The following is a 27,209-nucleotide window of genomic DNA, read 5'->3' on the forward strand; positions in this document are numbered from 1 at the left end:
ACTGTAATTGATACTTTCCTGGTTTTCAAAAATAGGTGGTTCTCAAAATTAGGACTTTTCAGCTGGGTAATCCTCACTTTACAAATACACATTTAAGAAATTGTAATGTCTTTTAAAAGTCTATTTCTTCTGGAATATGATTGAAGTTGGCCTGCAAGATCAAATTAGATTATACATAGAGGCAAGATATATTTTTATCTATTAATTCCAAAGGAATTAATAGAGGTTACAGTGAGCCGAGATCGTGCCATTGCACTCCAGCCTGTGTGACAGAGTGAGTTTCTGTCTCAAACAACAACAACAACAATTTAGTTATGGAAACTTCCTTTTTCAGCTAACATTTTTATAATGAAAAGGACTAACATGAAATATATTTTTATGCCTCTTGAAGTACGTGAGTCTCTGGCTTTTTCTGAAAATCTGGATGCTGCATAAGGACACACACAGAATGTGTTGGCCAAATGTGACAACACAGATGGATGCTGTGTGGCCCATGTAGAGGTCAGCTTTTATTTCTGCCTTTTCCACTTTTCAGTTCATAGGTTTTCTATATTCCTTTGTCAATGTCTGTTGGTTTAGGTTCCTTGGGCAAACACTTCCCAACTATCTTAGCTTTTTTTCTTTTTTTCAGTGGCATTTTAGGGGAAGAAAGTGAAATTTCAAGAATTAGAAGAAAAATTTTTAACTTCAGTTGCCAGTGACTAATTAGGGGACTAAAAATTAGGAGTTTCCACTGGACTTCATCTAAAAGTTTGATTCTTAGTCTGTTTTCTAGTGGTTTTCTTAGTAAATTAAGCCTCCTCACTCTATCTATTAGAAGAAGTATTGGTATTAATCTAAGAAATATGTAATGGAATTGCTTCAAAAGCAGTCCCCAAAACAAAACTCATTTATTGTAGAAAGAGATGCCTAACTTTCACAGTTATTAAATATATACATTGTTAAGTACTAGAAATTCAAGATGATTCAGTAATAATTGCTTCAAGATGATTCAATAATAACTGCATATCACTTATATTTGGGAAGATAAAACATGGTTTTTTTTCCTTTAAATTTTACTTTGTTGGAAAGCAAATGAGTTGTTAAATATATGCTGGATTTGGATTCAAATATTAAATTCAAGAATTTCAGGTTATTTTGACATACTTCTGTATACAGTTCTTTAAATGTTTTATGGTGCTTTTTTTTTAAGTAGAAAGGATTTTTTAAACACTCAGTTAAAAAATTTAGTTATAGCACATGGACACAGGGAGGGGAACATCACACACTGGGGCCTTTCAGGGGGCTAGGGGCTAGGGGAGGGATAGCATTATGAGAAATACCTAATGTAGGTGACAGGTTGATGGGTGCAGCAAACCACCATGGCATGTGTATACTTAGGTAACAAAACTGCATGTTCTGCACATGTACCCCAGAACTTAAAGTATAAAAAAAAAATGAGTTATGGGTCAGGCATGGTGGCTCATGCCTGTAATCCCAGCACTTTGGGTGACTGAGGTGGGTGGATCACCTGAGGTCAGGAGTTTAAGACCAGCCTGGCCAACATGGCGAAACCCTGTCTCTACTAAAAATACAAAAATTAGCTGGGCGTGGTGGCTGGTGCCTGTAATCCCAGCTACTTGTGAGGCTAAGGCAGGAGAATCGATTGAACTTGGGAGGCAGAGGTTTCAGTGAGCCTAGCTATGAGATAGCGCCACTGCGCTCCAGCTCGGGGACAACAGAGCAAGACTGTATCTCAAAAGAAATAAAAATAAAAATAAAAATAAAAAATAGCAAAGCATGGTGGTGCATGCCTGTAGTCCCAGCTACTCAGAAGGCTGAGGTGTGAAGATTGCTTCAGCCCTGGAGGTTGAGGCTGCAGTAAGCCATGATCACGCCACCACAATCCAGCCTGGGCAACAGAGTGAGACCCTATCTTGAAACAAAAACAAATTACAGCATATACATATGTATATGTATACATGCAGAATATATATATATATGTATTTTTTTGTACGATGAAATGAATATGCATACCCTAGTTATACAACAAAGGTTGAGGAACTTACACTCCTAGATCACGCAATATCTTGACAAAACTTTTTATTCACAGAATCCCTTGAAAGTAGCTATTAGACGAAATAACAAAAACTTTTGTCCAAGGTTTTAGCCCTTTTTATTGACCTTCTTTTCTTCATGATTCTCTCTCAAAGGATAAATTGTACATTTTTGTATTTGAAAACATCAGATATCCAAGCCATATTACTATAGTTCTCAGAAACAATTCATTTCTTCAGCTTTTCATGCACAGCTGGATTGGTGCAGGCATTAGCTTGGAGCTCTTCTGTTTCTCCCTTTAAAACAAACTCAGCAGAGGCTGGGTGTTCCTGGACCCTGGATTTCACAGCATAAGCTGCATAGTTAAGGCTGGTATTTTCACTCCAATGCCAGTAACCTGAGAAGGGGTTATAGAGCATTCCTACCACTGTTTGAACTGACAGACCATCTGAAAAAAAAAAAAATCAGAAAGAGTAGATTTAATAAATATTTTCCTTCCAATTTCCAAGAGTTTCATGCAACTTTCTATATTAAAAATGCTGAGAGCACACTAAATGGATAGGAAAAGAAGAAAAAAAAAGGATTCCTAACTTAATGGGCAAGCGTATTTTGTAACTATGCACTAATCACAATTTACTGCAGAACTTCAGTAAGTCGCAATTAGGACACATACTCCAACGCAGTCTGCCTGGATTCAAATCCCAGCTTGGGTACCTATTACATGGTGACCATGGGCAAGCCACTTAACTTTATAAATCTCAGTTTTCTTACAGGTACAGAACTTGTATCATAGAACTGTTAGAATTAGATGAGCTATATGTGTAAACTAGCACAATGCTTGGAGTTTGGTAAGTACTCAATAAATGTTAGCTGTTATTAAAAAATATGTGCCAACAGGAGATTGTCCCCATAACACATCTTTAAAACATTTTTTTCCTACTTTCTTTTCTTTCTTTCTTTTCTTTTCTTTACTTTTTTTTTTTTTTTTTTTTGTGAGACAGAGTTTCACTCTGTTGCCCAGGCTGGAGTGCAGTGGCACAATCTTGACTCACTGCAACCTCCATCTCCTGATTTCAAGTGATTCTCCTGCCTCAGACTCTCGAGGAGCTGGGATTACAGGCATGCACCACCACACCCGGCTAATTTTTGTATTTTTAGTAGAGACAGGGTTTCACCACATTGGCCAGGCTGGTCTCGAACTCCTGACCTCAAATAATCTGCCTGCCTCGGCCTCCCAAAATGCTGGGATTAGAGGCATGAGCCACTGCGTGCAGCCTTACTTTATTTTCAACAAAGTTACTCATAGAAATCTTTAGAATTTACTACATGGCTATGTACTAATAATATTCCAAGTAAAATCAAGTTTACTGATAGACTTATATGAAAAAAAAAGCATTAGAAATATAGGAGTCTAAGTACTCAACAGGAATACCGAATGCCAAATAAATGAACTGACAAGCACTATTACTTGACCAGAATTCATCACATAAATCGAGAGCTCACTCTGTGTAAAGCAGAGCTAGGCATTGTAGAGAGTACAAAAAGGAGACATAGTCTTGCCTTCAAGTAGCTTACAGGCCATAAAAGGATGAAAAAAACCACCAAAATAACCATAAAGTCATGCTGTAAGTAATATAAAATACATAAAAAGTGATACTGAAGTTCAAAATATATGTAACTGTGGTGGAATCAGGAAAAATAATATGTAAGATAAGCTGATACAAGCAGGGCTCAAGAAGGCAGACTGAGAATGTGTAAATAACAGACATTTGTATCTCTTTCCTAAACAAGTGAGGACTAAATAGCCAAAAAGTATTCATTGATCATCTGTTATCTGCTTGGCCCTGGGTTAGGGGGCAACAGGTAAAAGAGAAGTGGTATCTACTACTTAATCCTAGCTTCCATGAGTTTATGACCTAGTTGAGAAGATAAAACCAACATTCAAAAACATAGTGGCCTATTTTATTAAGTGCTAGGCTAAGTGCGTAATAATTACTGGCATATTAAAAGTTCAGCTAGGCCTGGAAAATTGGAAAAAATTCTCTTAATACTTACTTGATTCCAGAATGCTCTCTAGTGTTTCAGGTGAAACAAACTTCTCCCATGTATGAGTACCTTTTGGTACAATACTTGCAATTTGCTCTGAAAAAACAATTCCCAAGGCATAGGAAAGTTGTGTTTTGTTGATTGTAGTAATGAATAAAGAACCACCGGGCTAAAAGAAATGAAATTATATAGAAGTAAAATGTAAAAGACTAAGTGTATCACTTAAGTAAAAGCTGTTTCCCCCTCCCTCCTCCTTTCTTCCAAATAATCTGAGTGCCATTAAAATATATATGTACGCATAAAATATAATTCACCAAAATAGCATTTTTTTTCTCTTGGGAAATTCACTATAAAAGGCATTTTAGATGTACTCAGTGAGTATATACAACAGTGCTTACAACTCTTAAGATCATATATAATTATGATTTATATTTATATATTCTTTTGTACATATCAAACACTTTACAATAAAAATGAGATCAGGCTGCTCTTCCTTGTTACATGTCCACATTCACATTCTAACATATGTCAAAATGGTTTTCATTGTAAGTGCTGAGCCTGTCTTAACTCGTTTGTTACAGCACAGAGCTATACATCTTGTGCAGGGAAGTACTACCAATAAGTGTTTTCTCACTAAAACATTAATGATTAGGTTTGAACATTTTTTGTTTTTATTTCATTTTTATAAAAAATATAAAGAGTGGCCGGCCGTGGTGACTTACAAACTGTATTCCCAGCACTTTGAGAGGCTAAGGCGGGCAGATCACTTGAGATCAGGAGTTTGAGACCAGACTGGCCAACATGGCGAAACCCCCGTCTCTACTAAAAATATAAAAATCAGCTGGGCATCGTGGTGAGTGCCTGTATTCCCAGCTACTCAGGAGGCTGAGGCAGGAGAATCACTTGAACACAGGAGGTGGAGGTTGCAGTGATATATATTTATATAAAGAGAACAACATGAGCACCAGGATGAATGCAAAGGATTTATAGGACTATTCAGTGTGCCAGTTTATCTTTGAGACACAGTCTTGCTCTGTCGCCCAGGGTAGAGCACAGTGGCATGATCTCAGCTTACTGCAACCTCCACCTCCCGGGTTCAAGCGATTCTCCTGCCTCAGCCTCCCAAGTAGCTGGGATTACAGGTGCCTGCCACCACGCCCGGCTAATGTTTGTATTTTTAGTAGAGACGGGGTTTCACCATCTTGGTCAGGCTGGTCTCGAACTCCTGACCTTGTGATCCACCTGCCTTGGCCTCCCAAAGTGCTGGGATTACAGGCATGAGCCACTGCACCCGGCCTCAGTCTGTCATTTTATAGTAAATATATTTATGGCGTTACCTATATTGTCTCACAAATGGCAAGGATATTAATGTCCCCTCTCTCTTTTAAACATTCTCATTAGCCTGATGAGGGAAAAATGCCAAAGATTCCCTCCAAAATAATCATATTACTATAGACATATAGAAAGAAAGCGAGAAAGAAAGGGGAGTTAGGAGAAAGAGATAATATATCTTAGATACCACTCTATGCCAAAAATAAAAAAGACAAGAGAGGGCCCTGAAATATTGGAGTATGCCTTTAAATTAAAAACAAAAATATCATACACTATATTATCACACATTTTAACTTTCCTCTGTAAAGCTCTAGTATTCTAAAATATCTTTTTTTCCCTTTAATGGCATGATCATAGCTCATTGCAACTTCAAACTCTAAAATATCTTAAGAATCACTTCTAGGCCAGGCATGGTGGCTCATGCCTATAATTCTAGTGCTGAGGCAGGAGGATTGCTCGAGACCAGGAGTTCAAGACAAGCCTGGTCAACATAGCGAGAACCGCATCTCTACAAAAAATTTATTTAAAAAAACTATCAGGCATGGTGCTGAGCACCTGTAGACATAGCTACTTGGGAAGCTGAGGTGGGAGGATCACTTGAGCCCAGCAGTTTGAGGTTTTAGTGAGCTATGATGGTGCCACTGCACTCCAGCCTGGGTGACAGAGGAAGATCCTGTCTCTGAAAAAAAAAAAAAAAGTCACTTATGAATATCTAATCTGTGTTCTACATACTCGTACTTTAAGGAAATGGTGGTAAGCAATAGTCATTTTTAAAACATAGGCTTTCCATTAAAGCAAAAATTAGTTTTAAACCCTACAATGCCAGCATCCCTCATATGTGTCAAAGAACCTCCCTTCATACACACTGACATATAAAATAAGAATTAACAATCAATTAAGAAGTTTTATTTGGAAAATAAGAGATAAGCCTAGTAAAACTCTACTTAAGAGGAAACAAGGGCTAGGCACAGTAGCTCACGCCTGTAATCCTAGCACTTTGGGAGGCTGAAGCGGCAGGATCCCTTGAGCTCAGGATTTTGAGACCAGCCTGGGCAACATAGGGAGACCCTGTCTCTACAAAAAAGTAAAATATAAAATTAAAAATTAAAATTAGCTAGATATGGTGGCATGCACCTGTGGTCCCAGCTACTTGGGAGGCTGAGATGGGAGCATGGCTTGAGCCCAGGAAATGGCTGCAGTGAGCCGTGATCTTGCCAGTACACTCCAGCCTGGGTGACAGAGTAAGACCTTGTCAAGAAAAACAGAGGAAACACCAAAAAACTGTCACAGATTAAAGAAGACTAAGGAGAAATGACAACTAAATACATGTACAAGTCTGGTTTGGATCCTGTAACAGCAAACTGACATTAGCAAAAAAAAAAAAAAAAAAAAATTAATAAAATTTAACGAGCTCTGTAGTGCAGTTAATAAGTATAATGCTGATGTTAATTTCTTAGTTTTGAGAACTGTACCATGGTTTATATATAGGGCTAGAACTATAATGAGGCAAGTGAGTCTTCTAGGGCACAGAATTGAAATAGGCAACCCCTTTCAGGGTATGCAAGTGCAGGGTCAGCACCTGAGAGGGGCTGTCACCTGCAATTTTGTGCCCTAGGTGTCTCACTTGACTCATCCTAGTTCCTACCCTTATGATGTGAGATGTTAACCTAAGGGGAAGACAGGTGAAAGGCACACTGTACTTACTATCTTTGCAATTTTGCTATAAATTTAAAATTACTTAAAATTTCAATAAGAGCTATGCATTTCATTCTTTTAGCTTTTGACCTTAGGATGTCACCTCCTAAATATGTGAACGACAGAGTCAGTATAGTAATAATAATAATACTTTAGGGGTATTTATTAAAAGAAAACTTACAGCCACATTCAGAGAACAAAGTCTGTTGTAAATTATACTATATAAGCATAGTAAGTAATGGAGAGAACCAAACTTGGAGTCAAATGGTCTGGCCTTAAGCCCCACTTAAATGCCTAGAGACCTCTGACATCTGATAAATCCTGAGTCCTCGTAGGTGAAAGGATGTGATAACAATACCTGCCTTTCCTTCCTCATCTAGTTGTAGGTAAGATCAAGTGAGATCACATTTATGAAATATTCTTTTATAAGCTGAAAACTATTACGCATTTACCATGTACAGAATTACTTGTTATTTAATTAAACTTATGCTAATAATTATTTTTATTGATGTTTAAGTATTCATCCAAATCAATTTCTTTCTTTTTTTTTTTTTTTTGAGACAGTTTCGCTCTTGTTGCCCAGGCACAATCTCGGCTCACTGCAACCTCTGCCTCCCGGGTTCAAGCAATTCTCCTGCCTCACCCTCCCAAGTAGCTGGGATTACAGGCATGCGCCACCACGCCTGGCTAATTTGTATTTTTAGTAGAGACGGGGTTTCTCCATGTTGGTCAGGCTGGTCTCAAACTCCCAACCTCAGGTGATCCACCCGCCTCCGCCTCCCAAAGTGCTGGGATTACAGGTGTGAGCCACTGTGCCCAGCCTCAAATCAATGTCTTATAATTGTCATTCAATATCTGTTAAGTATTTAATCCCGACTGCACCAGTGGAAAAATACTGCTATAAGTGTATGGTTTTCCCGTGTTCAGCACCAATATTTTTCTTTTTTTTTTTTTTTGAGACAGGGTCTCACTCTGTTGCCCAGGCTGGAGTGCAGTGACACGATCTCGCCTCACTGCAACCTCCACCTCCAGGGTTCAAGCAATTCTTGTACCTCAGTCTCCTGAGTATCTGGAATTATAGGCATGCACCACCATGTCCAGCTAATTTTTTCTATTTTTAGTAGAGATGGGGTTTCACCATGTTACCCAGGCTAATCTCCAACTCCTAGCCTCAAGTGATCTGCCCACCTTGGCCTCCCAAAGTGCTGGGATTACAGGCATAAGCCACCATATCCAGCCAGCACCAGCATTTTTCAAGATCCCTGGACATCCAAGATATTAATAGGACACAGGAAGACCCTGGTATTGAGGGCAAGCTGAGGAGTAGAAGAAATCTACAGCAGAGATGCTGTCCCCTCATCCAGGCTTCCTGGTTTCTTCTCTACTATACCTTGCCTGCTGGACTGCTAATGCATTATGGACCATTTTATTGCTATAGATACAAATACACACACTCAGAAGAAGAAACCAAGATGTAAACTCCATAAGCCTTACTTTTAACACTTGACAGCAGCACTGTAAAAATGTTTCTAGATCAATCACATGTTCTACAACTTCAGAAGCTACAACAGCATCAAATGTTTCTGCAGTCTCTTCCACAATCTCTTCCAGGGAACACACTCTGTACTCTATTCTCTTATCCAGGACTGGATCAAATGATTTATGGCATTGTGCTGTTTTAATGTTCTCATCCACAGGGTCGATTCCAATAACTGAAGCCCCAAGCCGCCCTAGAGGCTAATGGCATTAAAAAAACTGTTACCCTCAGGAAGAAAATAGAGCACATGTTAGCAATAAAAAGCTTATCAAAAATGAAACAAGATTAACCATGAGGTGATAAATACTGGACATCATTTATGGGTACATGGAAACTCATATACCATTTTCTCTAGTTTGTACACATTTGAAATTTTCCATAATCAAACCCTTAAAGTTAAGAAGAACAATGAAAACAACAAAAAACTGATAAAAAACTACTTGAAGACAGTGAAAAAAACTTTGTCTATGTACTCTAGATACACTTACTTGCACATAGTACAGTATTAACATATTTAAAGTGCAATAAATGTAACAAGCCATTGAAAAAACAGCAATCATTTCTGAAATATTCAAATTTTCTAAAGAACAATCTTTTCTCAAAAGTTTTTTTCTCTGACTAGAAATGATTTTTCATAGCTAATTCTTCTCTCAGCTTTTTTATTTAGTCATTTCCCATGACATGCCCAAGTTTTTAAACACAGGTTGGCCAGGCACGGTGGCTCACGCCTGTAATCCCAGCACTTTGGGAGGCAGAGGTGGGTGAATCACCTGAGGTCAGGAGTTCAAGACCAACCTGGCCAACATGGTGAAACCCTGTCTCTACTAAAAATTAGCTGGGCATGGTGGCGGCAGCCCGTAATCCCAGCTAGTTGGGAGGCTGAGGCAGAAGAATTGCTTGAACCTGGGTGTTGGAGGTTGCAGTGAGCTGAGATCATGCCATTGCACTCTAGCCTGGGCAACAAGAGTGAAACTCTGTCTCAAAAAAAAAAGATTAAAATCAATATTATGGATGTGTGTGTGTGTGTGTGTGTGTGTGTGTATGTGTGACAGAGTCTCTCTCTGTTGCCCAGGCTGGAGTGCAGTGGCTCAATCTCAGCTCACTGCAACCTCTGCCTCCCGGGTTCAAGCGATTCTCCTGCCTCAGCCTCCCGAGTAGCTGGGATTACAGGTGCCCGCCACCACACCTGGCTAATTTTTGTATTTTTAGTAGAGACAGGGTTTCGCCATGTTGGTCAGGCTGGTCTCGATCTCCAGACCTCAGGTGATCCACCCACCCTGGCCTCCCAACATGCATTTCTTTTTTTAATGAATAATATTATTTGTTGAAAGAATAAATGAGGCACAAGTCTACTTCTTAATTTTTTTCTCCCAGTTAAAAATGGCAGGAAAGCTGTCACTTACTTCAGTTAACAGCCCACCACCACAGCCAACGTCAAGAATCTTCATCCCCAACAAAGGTTTTCCTGGCTGGTGATTAGGAATTGTTTTCAGAAGATTGTCCCTTTTTTAAAAAATTCAAAACATACCAAAACAAATAATTAATTTTATCAACGAAAAGTCACAAAGTGTGTAGTTTTCAAGGAAATATTAACCTCCATTTAAATAAATTATTCATTTTTTTTATAAATAGATCTTTCAACATTGACATTTAATTTATAAAACATTTTCAATAATCAAAAGCAGGATGCTTAAAGGTCTGAAATAATCTAGTAGTAATTATGACTTAATTATTGTTTTAGTAATAATATAAAGAAAAAATTTCAAAATAATCTAGATTAACCTAATTTCAATTGCTTGAGATATCATGACACACGTTTTGGCTTTGCTGTCAATACTTGCTAGACCCATTTCATGTCAGCAGCAAATAGGTTATTTTATAGAGCTTAGAAAAAGCAGATGGGAGACCTATATTTTCAGAATTTGTCTATATTCCCTTCAAAATAAAATTTCTTTTAATCTTCTAAATGAGTGGTGTTTTCATGTATGAGCATGTAAACAGGCATCTAAATCAAGTAAACTTACTTCTAAGATAATCACGGTTAATACTTTACCTATACAAACATATGTATACACACATATACACACAAGTATATATACACCTAACAGTATTGTAAACTAAACATATATATATATATATATATATATATATATATATATATATATATATATATATTTAGAGAGAGAGAGAGAGAGAGAGGACTATGTATAAATTTTAATTATACTTATATTAAAATAAATATTATTCATAATGAGGATATCTTAAGATATCTTCTATTGCCATTAAAGTTAATTGAATTCTAAGAATAACATGGATAGTGGTTAAGTAGATCATTTTGGAAAGTTATAACATACAGAAAAGACCCATTTCAAATGAAGTCGATCCATTGTTTAAACCACAGCTAAAATGACTCCTTTACATCATAATTTAGATCATATCACTTTCCTTCGATGGGTTCTAATTATGCTCAAAATAAAATCTAAACTTTAACCATAGCTTGCACTGCCCTGGGTTATTATGTGTGATCTCTAGTTAAAGGTGTCTCGTAGTTTGAACAGAGTAATTCCCAAACTTAGTATACATCAGAATCACGTAAAGTTTGCTTAAAATGGAGTGCTGACCCCTCCCCAGAGCAGTAGGTCCCTGATGAGACGTGATAATTTGCATTTCTAATGAGCTCCTAGGTGAACTAATGTCACTGTCCAGGGCCTACACTTTGAGACCCAGTGTTCTAGCTTACAAGAATGACATTTCTGTTTTTCTTTGCTTTGCTTTGTCAGTGGTATTAAAGGATGTCAGTATTTCTCTTTTTGGTATACTAATTCTGGATGAACCAGCAAAAACCAACCAGGAAGTTCCTTGAGGGCAAAGTCTGAGTCAGATATTCTGTGTCTGTTACAGTGCTTTGCCCAAAATTGTTTGATGAATACATAAATGGACAGAGGAACAAATGAACAATTTCTTTCTTTTTTTTTTTTTTACATTTTGCTTGTAGCTGCTCCCTTGCAGTTCCCTTTATTTTTTATTTTATTTTATTTTATTATTATTATACTTTAAGTTTTAGGGTACATGTGCACACCGTGCAGGTTTGTTACATGTGTATACATGTGCCATGTTGGTGTGCTGCACCCATTAACTCGTCATTTAGCATTAGGTATATCTCCTAATGCTATCCCTCGCCCCTCATACTAAATCTTAATGGTTGGAGCCTTTCAGAAATTACTTACCTAGAAATACGTTTTAAGAAACAGTTTTGCAACTCACTGATAAAAAATATTTTTAAAGGGATAAACAATTTGGATGCTTTTCTAATTCATCACGTTAAGTGAGAATTCTCACGTTAAGTGAGAATGGTGTCCAGTTTTCTTAAATGTAAGCCCTGATGTACTCTTGCCTTTCTTTAACTTCCACAGCAACCTATAAGTTCCCGAAGCACAAAGATTATGTTTCATTCATCTTAGAGTCTTTTACAGTCTAGCCCCTGAGCTCTGTATGAGGTAAGTTCTCAAAAAAATTTGTTGAATCAAACTTTACCAGAACTGCCTAAGTCAATGATGCCACTGTAGGTCTGTAGTTATAAAATGGCCTTGGGCCAGGCACGGTAGCTCATGCCTGTAATCCCAGCACTTGGAGAGGCTGAGACAGGCAGATCACCTAAGGTCAGGAGCTTGAGATCAGCCTGGCCAACATAGTGAAACCCTGTCTCTACTAAAAATACAAAAATTAGCTGGGCATGGTGGCAGATGCCTGTAATCCCAACTACTCAGGAGGCTGAGGCAGGAGAATCGCTTGAAACCAGGAGGTGGAGGTTGGAGTGAATCAAGACGGTGACATTGCACTCCCCTCTGGGTGACAAGAGCAAGACTCCATCTCAAAAAAAAAAATAATTAAATAAATAATAAAATAAATAAAATGGCCTTGATGCCATAAGACCCTAGTTTGCTTTTATAAGAACTTAATTATAATTAACTTGATAATATACAAATAGGCTTCAAATTAAGCTATGAAAGCAGCCTTGACCTTGCATGATATTATTAAAAATTAATGGTTTCAAACAGTGGTAATTGAAAAGAATCTCCCTAATTTCCAAAGCAAACTTAATGTGCAGCATTTTTTAACTAGGTATAAACTAAGAAAAAAATGAATGTGAAATATGAATTCTTAAAAAGTTCCATTTAAAAAGACTTAGAGTTTCTGGAGTGTTACCTAATAAATGGCACCCTCAGGTCATTCATGGAATGAAGAGGTGCATATACTCCTTGTTCATCCCACCATTTGTGAGCCAGGGCCAAGAAGGTTTTTACCTCACCGCTGTCGACAGTGGTTTGGGAAGTACTGTACAGTCTCGCCCAAGGGTACCTAAAAGGTGAAAATGAAGAACCAAGCAAATACTGCTGTTTTGAAGAAATGTTTAACATGGGATATTATGTAGAAAGATAGTCTTATTTACAATTTATTATATTCTAAATCTGTATACTGCTCAATATTGATGCTTTAAAACCAAGTTTTCTTATAATCACACTGCATATAAATACATCTATTCACAGACGAAACAAAATTACTTTTCAAGTAAGTTTCAATTCAAAACAGAACTTTATAAAACTTAGCCTTCTGGGTCATATCTAATAATAATAACAATAACAATACTAATAGCTGGCAGGGTGCAGTGGCTCACATCTGTAATCCCAGCACTTTGGGAGGCCGAAAGGGGCAGATCAAGAGGTCACCAGCCTGACCAACTTAGTGAAACCCTGTCTCTACTAAAAATATAAAAATTAGCTGGGCATGGTAGTGGGTACCTCTAATCCCAGCTACTCAGGAGGCTGAGGCAGGAGAATCGCTTGAATCCGGGAGGTGGAGGTTGCAGTGAGTAGAGATTGAGCCACTGCACTCCAGCCTCGGCGACAGAGTGAGACTCTGTCTCAAAATAAATAAATAAATAATAATAATAGCTACCATTTATTGAGCACTTATTAAATTCCAGGTATTGTTTAAGAGCTCCACATATATTACCTCACTTAATCCTTCCAACAACTCTGCAAGGTGGGTATTATTATTATCCCTATTTTACAGATAAGAAAAGGGAGGCTCAGAGAGATTAAGTAAATTGTAGAGCTGGGATTTGAGCACAGGTGCCTCCATCTTCTCTGCTCCATTTCTACTGCCATAATTCTAACGCAAGCACCCATCATCTCTTGCCTGAACTAGTGTCCTAGCCTTCTAACTGGTAGCTGATTCCTACCTCATCCCTTTCCAATCTGTTCTCCATGATGCATCTAGAGTGATTGTTCCAAAATACAAATTTGATTGTTATTTTCCTGAATAAAATGCTTCCATATCTTCCCAGTGCCATTAGAAAAAAGACCAAAATCCTTAGCATAGTTTACAAAGTTCTGAATTATTTAGTTCCCAGTTTTCTCCCTTTCCAAACTCACTTCCTTCTATTCTCCTCATCCTTCCCACTCCAACCACATGGGTCCTTTTTCAGTTCTTTGGACTGGCCATGCATGCTCTTTCCTCAGGCACTTCAAATAGGTTGTCCCCTCTGCCTGGAACATTCTTCCCACATCCTTCCTTTCCTTTCCCAAACACCTAATTGATTCCTTCTCATCCTTCAGATCTTAGTTTCAATGGAATGTTATCTAAGAATCTTCCCTGATCTGCTGCATGTGGTGGCTGACGTCTGTAATCGCAGCATTTTGGAAGGCTGAGGCAGGTGGATCACCTGAGGTCAGGAGTTCCAGATCAGCCTGGCCAACATGGTGAAACCCAGTCTCTACTAAAAATACAAAAATTAGCCAGGTGTGGTGGCAGGTGCCTATAATCTCAGCTACTTGGGAGGCTGAGGCACGAGAATTGCTTGAAGCAGGGAGGTGGAGGCTACAGTGAGCTGAGATCATGCCACTGCACTCCAGCCTGGGTGAAAGAGCAAGACTCTGTCTCAAAAAAAAAAAAAAAAAGAATCTTCCTTGATCCTCAAAACTGGGTCATGTTCCCCTCATCCCCTGTCCCCCTATTTTAGCTCCTATACCACTTTGTACTTCTTCATGGGGCTATGTGATTATCTGATCGATCATGTCTGTCTTCCACTAGACCACAAGCACTATGAAGGCAAGGCATGGACTGTCTTCCTTACCATTTTATTCTTAGTGACTAGTACAGTTCCTGGAACATGGTGCTCAGGAAGCACTTGGCAAATGAATAATCTGAAGGAAAAAGCCCAGGAAAGTATATAATTTGCCTAAAATTTTATTTAATTAAATGGGATCAAACAGGAGTAAAGAGGGATTAGATAGACACTACACTGACTTCCATGTAGAAGCATATAGTATAGAAAAATCCTTCAAAGGGCTGCTCAGGTAAAACATAGTAAGGATGTTAACTTAGAAAAGGTAATGCCATTCACATTTTTATTAAGTTTGTTTTTAGCCACATAAAGAGAGCATATTCTATATTCATTACTTTTTATTCTTTTAAGATTCAAGTGTCATTCCTCTTTAATATTAATATTATCTTAGGAATATTAGCCCCCTTGTCCATGCTTAATGCAAAGCCTCAGTAATCAAGGACTAATTTACAATAGGTAACAGTAGGTGGTTGCTCATTTGACTAAGAATGATTTCATATAAACCCAAACTCAAAGGGGCTCATTTACAAGGAGGAACAAGCACTTAGAAAACAGAGTTCAAGGCTGGGCGCGGTGGCTCATGCCTGTAATCCCAGCACTTTGGGAGGCTGAGGTGGGTGGATCACCTGAGATCAGGAGTTCAAGACCAGCCTAGCCAACATGGTGAAACCCCTTCTCTACTAAAAATACAAAATTAGCCGGGTGTGGTGGTGCATGCCTGTAATCCCAGCTACTCAGGAGACTGAGGCAGGAGAAGTGCTTGAACCTGGAAGGCGGAAGTTGCAGTGAGCCGAGATCGTGCCTTTGCACTCCAGCCTGGGCAACAAGAGTGAAACTCTTGTCACAAAAAAAAAAAGAAAAAAAGAAAAAAAAATTAGCTGGCTGTGGTGGCGGGCACCTGTAATCCCAATGACTCGGGAGGCTCAGGCAGGAGAATCGCTTGAACCCGGGAGGTGGAGGTTGCAGTGAGCCAAGATCGCACCATTGTACTCCAGCCTGGGCAACAGAAGTGAAACTCCACCTCAAAACAACAACAACAAAAAACAGAGTTCAAGTATTAATGCTGTGCAATATTTTCACAAGGTTAAAAGTTGGCTTATAAAATACAAATACAGAAAGATATTACCTTCAATCAATTTTGCTACCTTAGCCACCTTATCATATTTATGCAGCACCCAAATCACTTATGATTTCTAAAAATTTTAAAATATTGTATTAGGTATTATAAGTAATATTTATGATTTTAAGCACTGCATTGTTTGTGTCTTGTCATAAGGACATTATGAGGAAATAAAAATTCTTCTCTAAGTAATAGCCTTATATTGAAAACAAAAGCTATCTCTGAATCTGAATGAAGGTTGTTTATTGTCTATATACTGTATTATTCTATTACCGTTTCTGTGGGTTTGAAACTCCCCAAATTTAAAAATTGTTAGAAAATAAATTAGTTGAGACTACTTAAATAAACACAAGCTACTTTAATCAAGACACATGGACTATTACATACTGACTGGGTTTATTAAAGATAATACTAAAAACCTATTACATATAATTACGTGAATATTTGCCACAGTAATAATAAACCCACCTGAAACTCTTTATTCTGTTCAAACAGGAAAAGATCGTCCTGTAGGATTTGAACCATATGGTTCTGTATTCATTGAAAACCCCTGGTTTAATCTGTAGAGTCCCACTGAGCTGGTTCTTCACATAAACTGAAAAAAAAAATTAAATATCTAGAGAAAAGCTTTGCACAGTAAGAATCCCTGATATGCATGTAATTGAAGATTCTATTTTATTTTATTATTTATTTTATAGTCTTGCTCTGCCACCCAGGTTGGAGTGTAATGGCACAATCATGGCTCACTGTAGCCTCCACCTCCTGGGCTCAAGCAATCCTCCCGCCTCAGCTTCCCAAGTAGCGGGGACTACAAGCGCAGGCCACCAGGCCCAGCTCATTTTTGTTGTTATTGTTGTTGAGATGGGGTCTCTCTATGTTGCTCAGGCTGGGTCTGAAACTCCTGGGCTCAAGGGATACTCCTGTCTCAACCTTCCAAAGTGCTGGGATTTACTGGGCCTGGACAAAATTTTATTTTATATGGTAATACTGTTACATTACAATTGATAAACAAAGGGTTTTTGTTTGTTTTTTACTTAATTTAAGATTTTACCTAAAAAATAAAATAAAATAAAGGTCTTACATTCTGGTATCTAACTCTAACCCAGACATTTCTAAAATTGTAATTAGCCAAAACAAGTAATGCATCTGTTTATAAAGTTTTTCATGCCATTAGTTTTTACATCTACATTATGTACATAAAATGACAGGAATGATATTCAAATATAAAGTGTTATGTTTTAAACTAGGATAATATTAATTCTGAAATTATTTGTCAAAACTATTTCAAATTCTGTCAATTCCATATTAGCTACATGAAATGAATTTTTGCATATGCTCAATACCCTTTACAGAGGAAAAAAAATGTATGTGTATATATAAAACCTAAAATAAACATTCACCCAGTCTATATGCTCAACTTACACAGGGGCCTGCTTTATGAGCCAGCAGCTGTGTTGCAGAACACTCAGTTGTTCAATAAACATTCAGACAAAGTAGACTTTAGAGCAAAGAAAGTACCAGAAACAAAGAGGGGCATTACATCACAATAAAAGGGATAATCCACCAAGAAGAAAAAGCAATACTAAATGTGTATGCACCAGCAAGGCGCAGTGGCTCACGCTTGTAATCCCAGCACTTTCGGAGGCTGAAGCAAGCAGATCACCTGAGGTCATGAGTTCAAGACCAGCCTGGTGAACATGGTGAAACACTGTCTCCACTAAAAATACAAAAATTAGCCAGGCATGGTGGCATGTGCCTGTAATCCCAGCTACCCAGGAGGCTGAGGCAGGAGAATCACTGGAACCCGGGAGGCAGAGGCTGCAGTGAGCTGAGATCAAGCCACTGTACTCCAGCCTGGGCGACAGAGCAAGACTGTGCCTCAAAAAACATGTGTACATACCAACAACAGAATTTCAAAACACATAAAGACTCACAGAAATGAAATGAGAAATAAACAAATCCACAATTGTAAGTTGGAGACTTCAACACTCTTCTCTCAGTAATTGATAGAACCACTGGATAGAAAACCAGCAGGGATAAAGAAGAACAGAACAAGACCATTATTCAATAAAATCTACTTAAAATGTGTGAAACACTTCCCCCAAACAACAAAATATACATTCTTTCAAGCATGCATGGAACATTCATAAAGATAGACCATATCCTGGGACACAAAACAAATCTTCATAACTTTAAGTGAAATCACACAAACTATAGTTTTGAATGTAATAAGATCAAATAAATAATAGAAAAATAACGGTAAAAAGCAAAACACTTGGAAATTAAACAACACACTTCTAAACAATCCATAAGTCAAAGACAAGTCTCAGGGATATTTTAAAAATTGAAGTAAATGAAAATAAATGTACTACATATAAAAATCAGCAGATATAGCTAAAGGAGCACTGAGAGGTCAATTTATATCACTAAAATAATCATATTGAAAAGGAAGAAAGGGCCAGGAATGGTGGCTCACACCTGTAATCCCAGCACTTTGGGCACTTTGGGAGGCCGAGGCAGGCAGATCACATGAGGTCAGGAGTTCAAGACCAGCCTGGCCAACATGGTAAAACCCTGTCTCTACTAAAAATACAAAAATTAGCTGGGGATGGTGGTACACACCTGTAGTCCCAGCTACCCGGGAGGCTGAGGCAGAAGAATCGCTTGAACCTGGGAGATGGAGGTTGCAGTGAGCCAAGATTGCGCCACTGCACTCCCACCTGGGTAATGGAGGAAGACTCTGTCTCAAAAAAAAAAAAAAAAAGAAAAGAAAAAAGAAAAGAAAAGAAAAAAGAAAAGGAAGAAAGGCCTCGAATCAACAATCTAAGTTTCGACCTCAAGAACTAGAAAAAGGTGAGCAAAATAAACACAAAGCAAGCAAGCAAGCAGAAATCAGAAAATGATAAAAAATAGAAATCAGCCGGGTGAGGGGGCTCACATCTGTAAACCCAGAGCTTCGGGAGGCCAAGGCAAGTGGATCACTTGAGGTCAGGAGTTCGAGACCAGGCTGGTCAACATGATAGAAGCCTATCTCTGCTAAAAATACAAAAATTAGCCAGGCATGGTGGCACATGCCTGTAATTCCAGTAACTCTGGAGGCTGAGGCACAAGAATTGCTTGAACCTGGGAGGCAGAGGTTGCAGTGAGCCGAGATGGCTCCTCTGCACTCCAGCCTGGGTGACAGAGTGAGACTCTGTCTCAAAAAATGAATAAACAAATAAATAAATAAAAATGAAAATCAATGACATTGTAAACAAAACAAAGCCGGAGAAAATACATCAAACCTGAAGTTAATTCACCGCAAAAATCAATAAAATTGATAAGCCTCTAGCAAGGCTGACAAAGAAAAGATGTAAATCACCAATATCAAGAAATAAAGAAAGGATATCACTATAGCTCTGATAGACATTAAAAGGTTGATAAGGGAATACTACACATAACTCTACACTCAGAAATTCTACAATTTAGACAAAATGGACTAATTCCATAAAAACCACAAACTACCAAAATTCATATAGAGAGCCTGAATAACTGATAACTACTAAAGAAATTGGATTCATAGTTAGAAGCCTGAAAAACAAATCTCCAGTCTCGGATGGCTTCGCTGGTGAATTCTACCAAACACTTAAAGAGATAACAACCAATTCTACTTAATCTCTTAAAAAAATAGAAGGGTAAGGAATACTTCCCAGGCCATTTTATGAAGCCAACATTACTCTGATACAAAAATCAAAGAGTACAGCAAAGACTACAGACCAATTCCTCTCAGGAACAGACACAAAAATTCTTAGCAAATATTACCACAATATAATTCAGCAACATACAAATAGAAGAATACAGCACAACCAAGTGAGATTTATTCCAGGTATGCAACACTAGTTCAATGTTAAAAAGCAGTTAATATAATCGACCATATTAACAATAAAAAAGAGAAATACACCAGGCAGGGTGGCTCACACCTGTAGTTCCAGCACTTTGGGAGGCTGAAGAGTCAAGATTGTTTGAGCCCAGGAGTTTGAGACAAGTCTGGGCAACATGGTGAGACCCTATCTCTACAGAAAAACTTAAAAAATTAGCCAGGTATAGTGGTGTGCACCCATGGTCCTTGCTACTAAGGGGATTGAGATGGGAAGACTGTTTGAGCCTGAGAGGTAGAGGCTGCAGTGAGCCATGATTGCACCGCTGCACTCCAGCCTAGGGTACAGAGCAACACTGTCTCAAAAAACAAACAAATGAAAACCAAAAACCAAAACAAAACAAATACCAAACATAATCATGTTGATTGATACAGACAAAGCATTTAACAAAATCCATATCCATTATGATTAAAAACTTTTGGCAAACTAAGAATGAAAGGGAAATTATCTTACAAAACAGCTATAAAAACCTATAGCTCACATAGTACTTTATGATGAAAGACTAAGCCCTTTCCCCCTAAAATCAGAAACAAGGTAAACACATCCATTCTCACTACTGTTATTCAACATTGTACTGAAAGTCTTATTCAGTGCAATGAGGCAAGAAAAGGAAATAAAAGATATATAGAATGTTAAGAAAGAAATTAAACTGTCCCTATTGTCTATGTAGAAAATACCAAGAAATCTTTAAAAAGCTCCTGGAAATAATAAGTGAATTCAGAAAGGTCAAAGATTACAGGCCGCACAGTGGCTCACACCTGTAATCCCAGCACTTTGGGAGGCCGAGGCGGGTGGATCACCCGAGGTTGGGAGTTCGAGACCAGCCTGACCAACATGGAGAAACCCTGTCTCTACTAAAAATACAAAATTAGCCGGGCATAGTGGCACATGCCTGTAATCCCAGCTACTCGGGAGGCTGAGGCAGGAGAATTGCTTGAACCCAGGAGGCGGAGGTTGCGGTGAGCAGAGGTCGCACCATTGCACTCCAGCCTGGGCAACAAAAGCGAAACTCCATCTCCAAAAAAATAAAATAAAATAAAATAAAAAAAGAAAGCTCAAAGATTACAAAGGCAACACAAAAAAGTCAGTCTTGTTTCTATATATTAACAATGAACAAGTGGAAGGCAAAATTCAAAATGTAAAATACTTTATCATTTTAAATCATTTCAAAAAAATTCATTGTTGCATAAATCAAACAAAAACATGTACAGAATCTATATGCTTAAAATTACACAACACTGATGAAAGAAATCAAAGAATAAACGTGAGACATATTGGAAAATTCAACATAGTAAAAAGATCAGTTCTCCCCAAATTGTCCTACACATTTAATACAATTCCTATCAAAATCTCAATAGCCTTTTTTTTTTGATAGACACAGACATGCTGATTTTAAAATTTATATGGAAAGGCAAAATAGGCCTGGCGCGGTGGCTTATGCCTGTAATCCCAGCACTTTGGGAGATTGAGGCAGGTGGATCACTTGAAGTCAGGAGGTTGAGACTAGTCTGGCCAACATGGTGAAACTCCGTCTCTACTAAAAATAAAAAAATTAGCCAGGTGTGGTGGTGGGAACCTGTAATACGAGCTACTCAGGAGGCTGAGGCAGGAGAATTGTTTGAACCCAGGAGGCAGAGGTTGCAGTGAGCCAAGATCGCACCATTACACTCCAGTATGGGTGACAAGAGCGAAACTCCATCTCAAAAACTAAATAAGTAAATAAATAAAACACTAATGTATACACGCACACACACACACACACACACACACACACACACACACACACACCCACATCCTCACTCTCTCCCACAATGAGTGCATGTACAGTTGGCAAAAACCAAATAAGGTCTGTAGTGGAGTCAATTATCATACTAAAGTTGATTTCCTGGCTTCAACAATGTACTATGGATGGTATCACCAAGGAACTGGGTGAATAGTACATGGAAATTCTCTCTGTGTGTTTGGGGTTTTTGTTTTGTTTTGTTTTTGGGGGGAATAGGGTCTCTCACTCTGTCGCCCAAATTGGACTGCAGAGGCATGATCTCAGCTCACTGCAATCTCTGCCTCCCAGTTTCAAGTGATTATCCAGCTCAGCCTCCCAAGTAACTGGGACTACAGGTGCACACGCCACCATGCCCGGCTAACTTTTTGTATTTTTAGTAGAGACAGGCTTTCGCCATGTTGACCCGCCTGATCTCAAACTCCTGACCTCAAGTGATCTGCCCGCCTCAGCCTCCCAAAGTGTTGGGAATACAGACGTGAGCCACCGCACCCAGCCTCTCTGTGCTATTTTTGCCACTTCTTGTGTCTTAAATTATTTCAAAATAAAAAATTTAAAAAATCAAAAAGTACAAAAGGGTACAGTACAAAGTATCTCTCCCAGCCCTGACTGTAGCTATCTAGTTTCTCTCCCTATAAACAACCAATCCTACTAGATTTGTATGTAAGATTCCAGAGGCATTTTATACATATGCAATCATTTTAAAGTATCAGTTTCTCTCATTTTATATAAAATGTAGCACAATACACTCATTCTGAATGTTTCTCTTCACCTACCAACATATCTTGGAAATTATTTCATATTTTTTAAAAGGCTGTGTGATAATTCATTGTATGGCTATATTATTTATTTAAGCAGTTCCCTAATAATGAGCATTTGGGTAATTATCAAAACTATGAGATTAGGGCCGGGTGTGGTGGCTCATGCCTATAATCCCAGCGGTTTGGGAGGCTGAGGTGGGCGGATCACTTGAGGTCAGGAGTTTGAGACCAGGCTGGCCAACATGGCATTAGCCCGTCTCTACTAAAAATACAAAAATTAGCCAGGCGTGGTGGGGTGCGCCTGTAGTCCCAGTTACTTGGGAGGCTGGGGCACAAGAATCACTTGAACCCGGGAGGTGGAGATTGCAGTGGGCAAGATCACGCCACCGCACTCCAGCCTGGGCGAAAGAGTGAGACTCCGTCTCAAAACGACAACAACTAGAGATTAAATTACATAGGTTATTTCATTTCATATGTGTTTCAGAGTCCCTGTAGGTAAAATCTCAAGAATGATGTCAAAGGGTACGTGCATTTGTAAATCTGTAATTGCCACTAAATAGATGTTGAACCAATTTACTATCCTATCGGTAATCTATGAGAGTGTCTCTTGTTGGTTTTCCCACACTGTCACCCATACAATGTTAAACTTTTTTTTTTTTTTTTTGAGACGGAGTCTTGCTCTGTCGCCCAGGCTGGAGTGCAGTGGCGAGATCTCAGCTCACTACAAGTTCTGCCTCCCGGGTTCACGCCATTCTCCTGCCTCAGCCTCCCGAGTAGCTGGGACTACAGGTGCCCGCCACCACGCCTGGCTAATTTTTTGGATTTTTAGTAGAGACGGGTTTCACCGTGTTAGCCAGGATGGTCTTGATCTCCTGACCTCATGATCCACCCGCCTCGGCCTCCCAAAGTGCTGGGACTACAGGCGTGAGCCACGCGCCCAGTCTTTGTTAAACATTTTTATGTTTGCTAATCAAATACATGAAAATGGTATCTTAGTGTAGTTTTAATTGTTTGTTTTTGTTTTTGAGACAGGGTCTCACTGTGTCACCCGGGCTGGACTGCAGTGGAACAATCTCCACTCACTACAACCTCCACCAAGGTCACCCAAGCGATCCTCCCACCTCAGCCCCTCGAGTAGCTGGCACTATAAACATGGGCCCCGTGCCCAGTTAATGTAGTTTCAATTTATCATGAATGAGGTTAAGCATCCTTTCTTATGTTTAGTGGTCATTTATATTTCACATCTTGTCTTTTTGTAGTCTCTGCATACTTTTCTCCTGAGCTTATGTTTATTTGGTTTTATTTTTTAATCAGCCCTTCACAGTCCATCCCAAACCCATTACAATGTTCTTTTTTAATAAAGTTCATGTGTCTAGGCTTTTGCTCATTTTATTTATTTATTTATTTATTTATTTATTTATTTATTTATGAGACAGGGTCTCGTTGTGTTGCCCAGGCTGGAGTGCAGTGGTGGGTTCACGGCTCACTGTAGCCTCTACCTCCTGGGCTCAAGTAATCCTCCTACCTTAGCCTATCCAGTAGCGAGGTCCACAGAAGCACACCACCATGCCTGGCTAAATTTTGTATTTTTTTTTTTGTAGAGACAGGGTTTTGCTATGTTGCCCAGGCTGGTTTCAAACTCCTGAGCTCAAGCGATCCACCTGCCTCGACCTCCCAAAGTGCCGGGATTAAAGGTGCTCGGCCAGGCTTTTGTTCATTTTATTTCCCTTTCCACCAACTCTATCTGGACTACCTTTTAAGACCCAGTTCAAATATCACCTCCTGTATGACTTTAGGTAGATACATGAGATATTATTAAAGAATAAAGTTTAACTATGTAAACCATGATACATCGATAACGACATATAAGGTATTACTATTATGAAACTAAGCCTTAGAAATTTTAACAATATCTGCTTTTACGGACAGACAACCCTTGATCTCTCTCTTACCTCCTCTATTTCTGGAAAATGAATCCCTAAGTCATCAGTATTGCTACAATTCTCAAGAGGTTTAAAAATCATCTTAGGCCAGACGCAGTGGCTCAATGCCTGTAATCCCATCACTTTGGGAGACCAAGGTGGGCGGCCTGCTTGAGCCCAGGAGTTCAAGACCAGCCTGGACAATGTGGTGAAACCCCTTCTCTACTAAAAATATAAAAATTAGCCATGCATTGTGGTGCCTGCCTGTAGTCCCAGCTACTTGGGAGGCTGAGGTGGGAGGACCAATTGAGCCAGGGAGGCCAAGGCTGCCGTGAACTGTGGTCATGCCACTGCACTCTAACCTGGGATACAGAGCAAGACCTTTTCTCAAAAAAAAAAATTAATTAATCTAAAAAGTAAAAATAAAAACCACTCTACCACCTTACCACAACGGAAAGAGAGTAATTGAGTTTGTATTTAAACAGAATGCTACCAATTCCTTCTCTACCTTGAATCTGTGATCATCCTGGTATTTGAAATTTTAAAGGAATGGGAAAAGGTTTTTTTCATTTTATTTATTGAAAAGTCATTTATTCAGCACCTACCAGGCACCATGCTGATGGTGAATAAAACAGGTGACAGACTTTTACCCTACCAATACTTTATTTCCAGCAATGATAATTTACTGTCTGGATTGCTCTAAGGTCTTCCTGGGCCTAGACTTGCCTGACTCCATCCCACATTCTATGTAGACAGCTGCCAAGTGTTATTTCTTAAACATAAATCTGTTCATGTTGCTTCTTCAGTGATTTCCACTGTCCGCGGGATAGTCTACCTCAGGAGGTGTAAATGGCCTTTCATGAATGTGTCATGGCCAAAAAGGCCTCTTCCTCATCCCTTGCCACCCCCTGCCTTTACCTTCTGCCCTCCACCTACACACTTTACTTTTCAAGGAACCTTGCAGTTTCTCACAAACTTTCTCACAGATTCTCGAGCTGGTCCTTTCCCCTCTCCAACTGCTTTTTTTTTTTTTTGAGACAGAGTCTCACTCTGTTGCTCAGGCTGGAGTGCAATGGTGTGATCTTGGCTTACTGCAACCTCTGCCTCCCAGGTTCAAGCGATTCTCCTGCCTCAGCCTCCCGAGTAGCTGGGATTACAGGCGCCTGCCGCCACGCCCAGCTAATTTTGTATTTTTAGTAGATAGGGTTTCACCATGTTGGCCAGGCTGGTCTCGAACACTTGACCTCAAGTGAGCTGCCTGTCTCGACCAACTGCTTCTAAAACTGGCCACCTCCTTCAAGATTTCTCTAAATATCCCATTCAAGAAGTTTCCTTGATCCCAAATATGGATTAAATGCTCCTTCTATGTTCACCCCTCAAAAATTGGAACTAGGTTTATTATATCTTTTCTAAATTTTTGATTATAAAAGACACATGTTTACTAAAAAAAGTTCAGAAAAAGAAAAGTATATAAAGGATAAAATGATAGAAAATCACCTACTCTACCACAGGCAATCACTGCAAAATTTCTCTATATATCTCCACCTGTAACTCCAAGTTCACTATACATACTGATTTGTAACTTTTTTTTTTTTTTGGCTCCTTCCAGGAAACAATGAAACTTTACTTTCTTAACACTATATCTTACTACTTTTCCATGTGGGTACAAATAGATTTAAATCATTTTTATTGGCTGTACTATTTTTCACTGTATGATAGTACCAACTAATAACCTTTATTAATGGGCGGTTAGATTCCCCATTTTTTTGTTCATTATATCCTGATCTTAGGTTTATCCTAACATTTTTAAAGAGATCCTTGCGGTGTCATTCATTTTTAAATTCCCAGTGCTCATACCAGTGTCTGGCATACAGTATTTGTTAAGAGTTCCATGTGAAAGATGAGCTTAAGTTTCTACTTAATACTGAGAGTTCGAAAATCAGACTGCTGTCTACAAGCACTGAGCAGTGCATTATTTTCTTGATCTCATTTGCAAATGCAGTCTGTTGGATTAACCTATTAATCAAAAAGTAATACAGCTGCCTTAAATTCTTTCTGAAAAAAACAGCAAGCTTTGTGCAAACAAAACACAGATACAAAGCTATGCATAACTACGAGGCGTGAGTTATTCCTGCCCCGGCAAAGGAAAGATGCATGACCTTCAGACTGCAGCACACGCAGAGCGGGTCGCCGGCTCCTGGGGCAAGGAGCTCAGCCACAAGAGACCCGCGGCCTGCGCTTTTCCAGACAGGACCACTGGTCCTGAGCTCTTTTCCCCGGCGTCCGCCAACGGGACTATGCGAGGTTTACAATGGAGAGAGATGGGGCCAGGACCAAGCCTTAGGTTTCGCGCTGACCCCTCGCGAGGTCCAGAGACAACCCACCGCCCCACCCCCGGCGCATGCGCAGAGACGCCAGCGCTCGCAATTGACTGCATGCGAAGGACCTCCGCACACACACTCACCCGCCGAGGAAATTAAGGGACGCGCAGCTTTTGTATTACAGCCTCCAGGCCCCAGCACTCTTAAAAACCAACCCCCGGAGGAGCCCAGCTTACGGCCACTCCACATCGCGACAAACGATCCCACCTCTTTTCCGGTCCCTCCCGAAAAAAGATCCCCAACATAAAGGTTCCGAGATCACTTTCGCCGTCTGCAGCCGACTTTTTTTTTTTTTTTTTTTTTTAGCAGAGTCTGTTCTGTTGCCCAGGCTGGAGTACAGTCCCCATCTCGGATTCTGGGATCACTGCAATCTCCGCCGCCCGGGTTCAAGCGATTCTCCATGTTGGCTGGTCTCGAACTCCTGACCTCAGGTTATCCGCCCGCCTTGGCCTCCCAAAGGGCTGGGATTACAGGCGTGAGCCACCGCGCCCGGCCTGCAGCCGACTTTCATGATTGTATTGTTGAGTGTTATGTATGTATGGCTATACTTTCAC

General features: G+C 39.4%; 1 protein-coding gene across 6 annotated transcripts, besides 1 other annotated feature; it reads right to left on the reverse strand.

The window, feature by feature from the left end:
• Positions 1-2,065: 2,065 nt before the first annotated feature.
• Positions 2,066-26,860, reverse strand: COQ3 (coenzyme Q3, methyltransferase). Of its 6 annotated transcripts, XM_006715500.4 has the most exons (8): positions 26,739-26,860; positions 16,363-16,489; positions 15,673-15,795; positions 12,854-13,006; positions 10,051-10,150; positions 8,605-8,847; positions 4,093-4,252; positions 2,066-2,485 (listed from the first exon to the last, which is right to left on the reverse strand). In XM_006715500.4, exons 1-8 carry the CDS (start codon positions 26,842-26,844, stop codon positions 2,265-2,267), a joined length of 1,233 nt encoding a protein of 410 aa, XP_006715563.1. In that variant the 5' UTR covers positions 26,845-26,860; the 3' UTR covers positions 2,066-2,264. The 6 variants fall into 6 exon arrangements, with proteins under 6 accessions (XP_006715563.1, NP_059117.3, XP_011534200.1 ...); NM_017421.4 differs by lacking the exon at positions 15,673-15,795; XM_011535898.3 differs by lacking the exon at positions 8,605-8,847.
• Positions 26,116-26,755: an enhancer, noted in NCBI's record as "H3K27ac hESC enhancer chr6:99841327-99841966 (GRCh37/hg19 assembly coordinates)". NCBI's record gives its function as "activates a minimal SCP1, AML or CMV promoter by ChIP-STARR-seq in primed H9 embryonic stem cells {active_cell/tissue: H9 hESC(primed)}" and the evidence as "EXISTENCE:reporter gene assay evidence [ECO:0000049][PMID:30033119]".
• Positions 26,861-27,209: the final 349 nt, after the last annotated feature.

Source organism: Homo sapiens, chromosome 6 (assembly GCF_000001405.40).
Source record: "Homo sapiens chromosome 6, GRCh38.p14 Primary Assembly".
Lineage (NCBI taxonomy): Eukaryota > Metazoa > Chordata > Mammalia > Primates > Hominidae > Homo > Homo sapiens.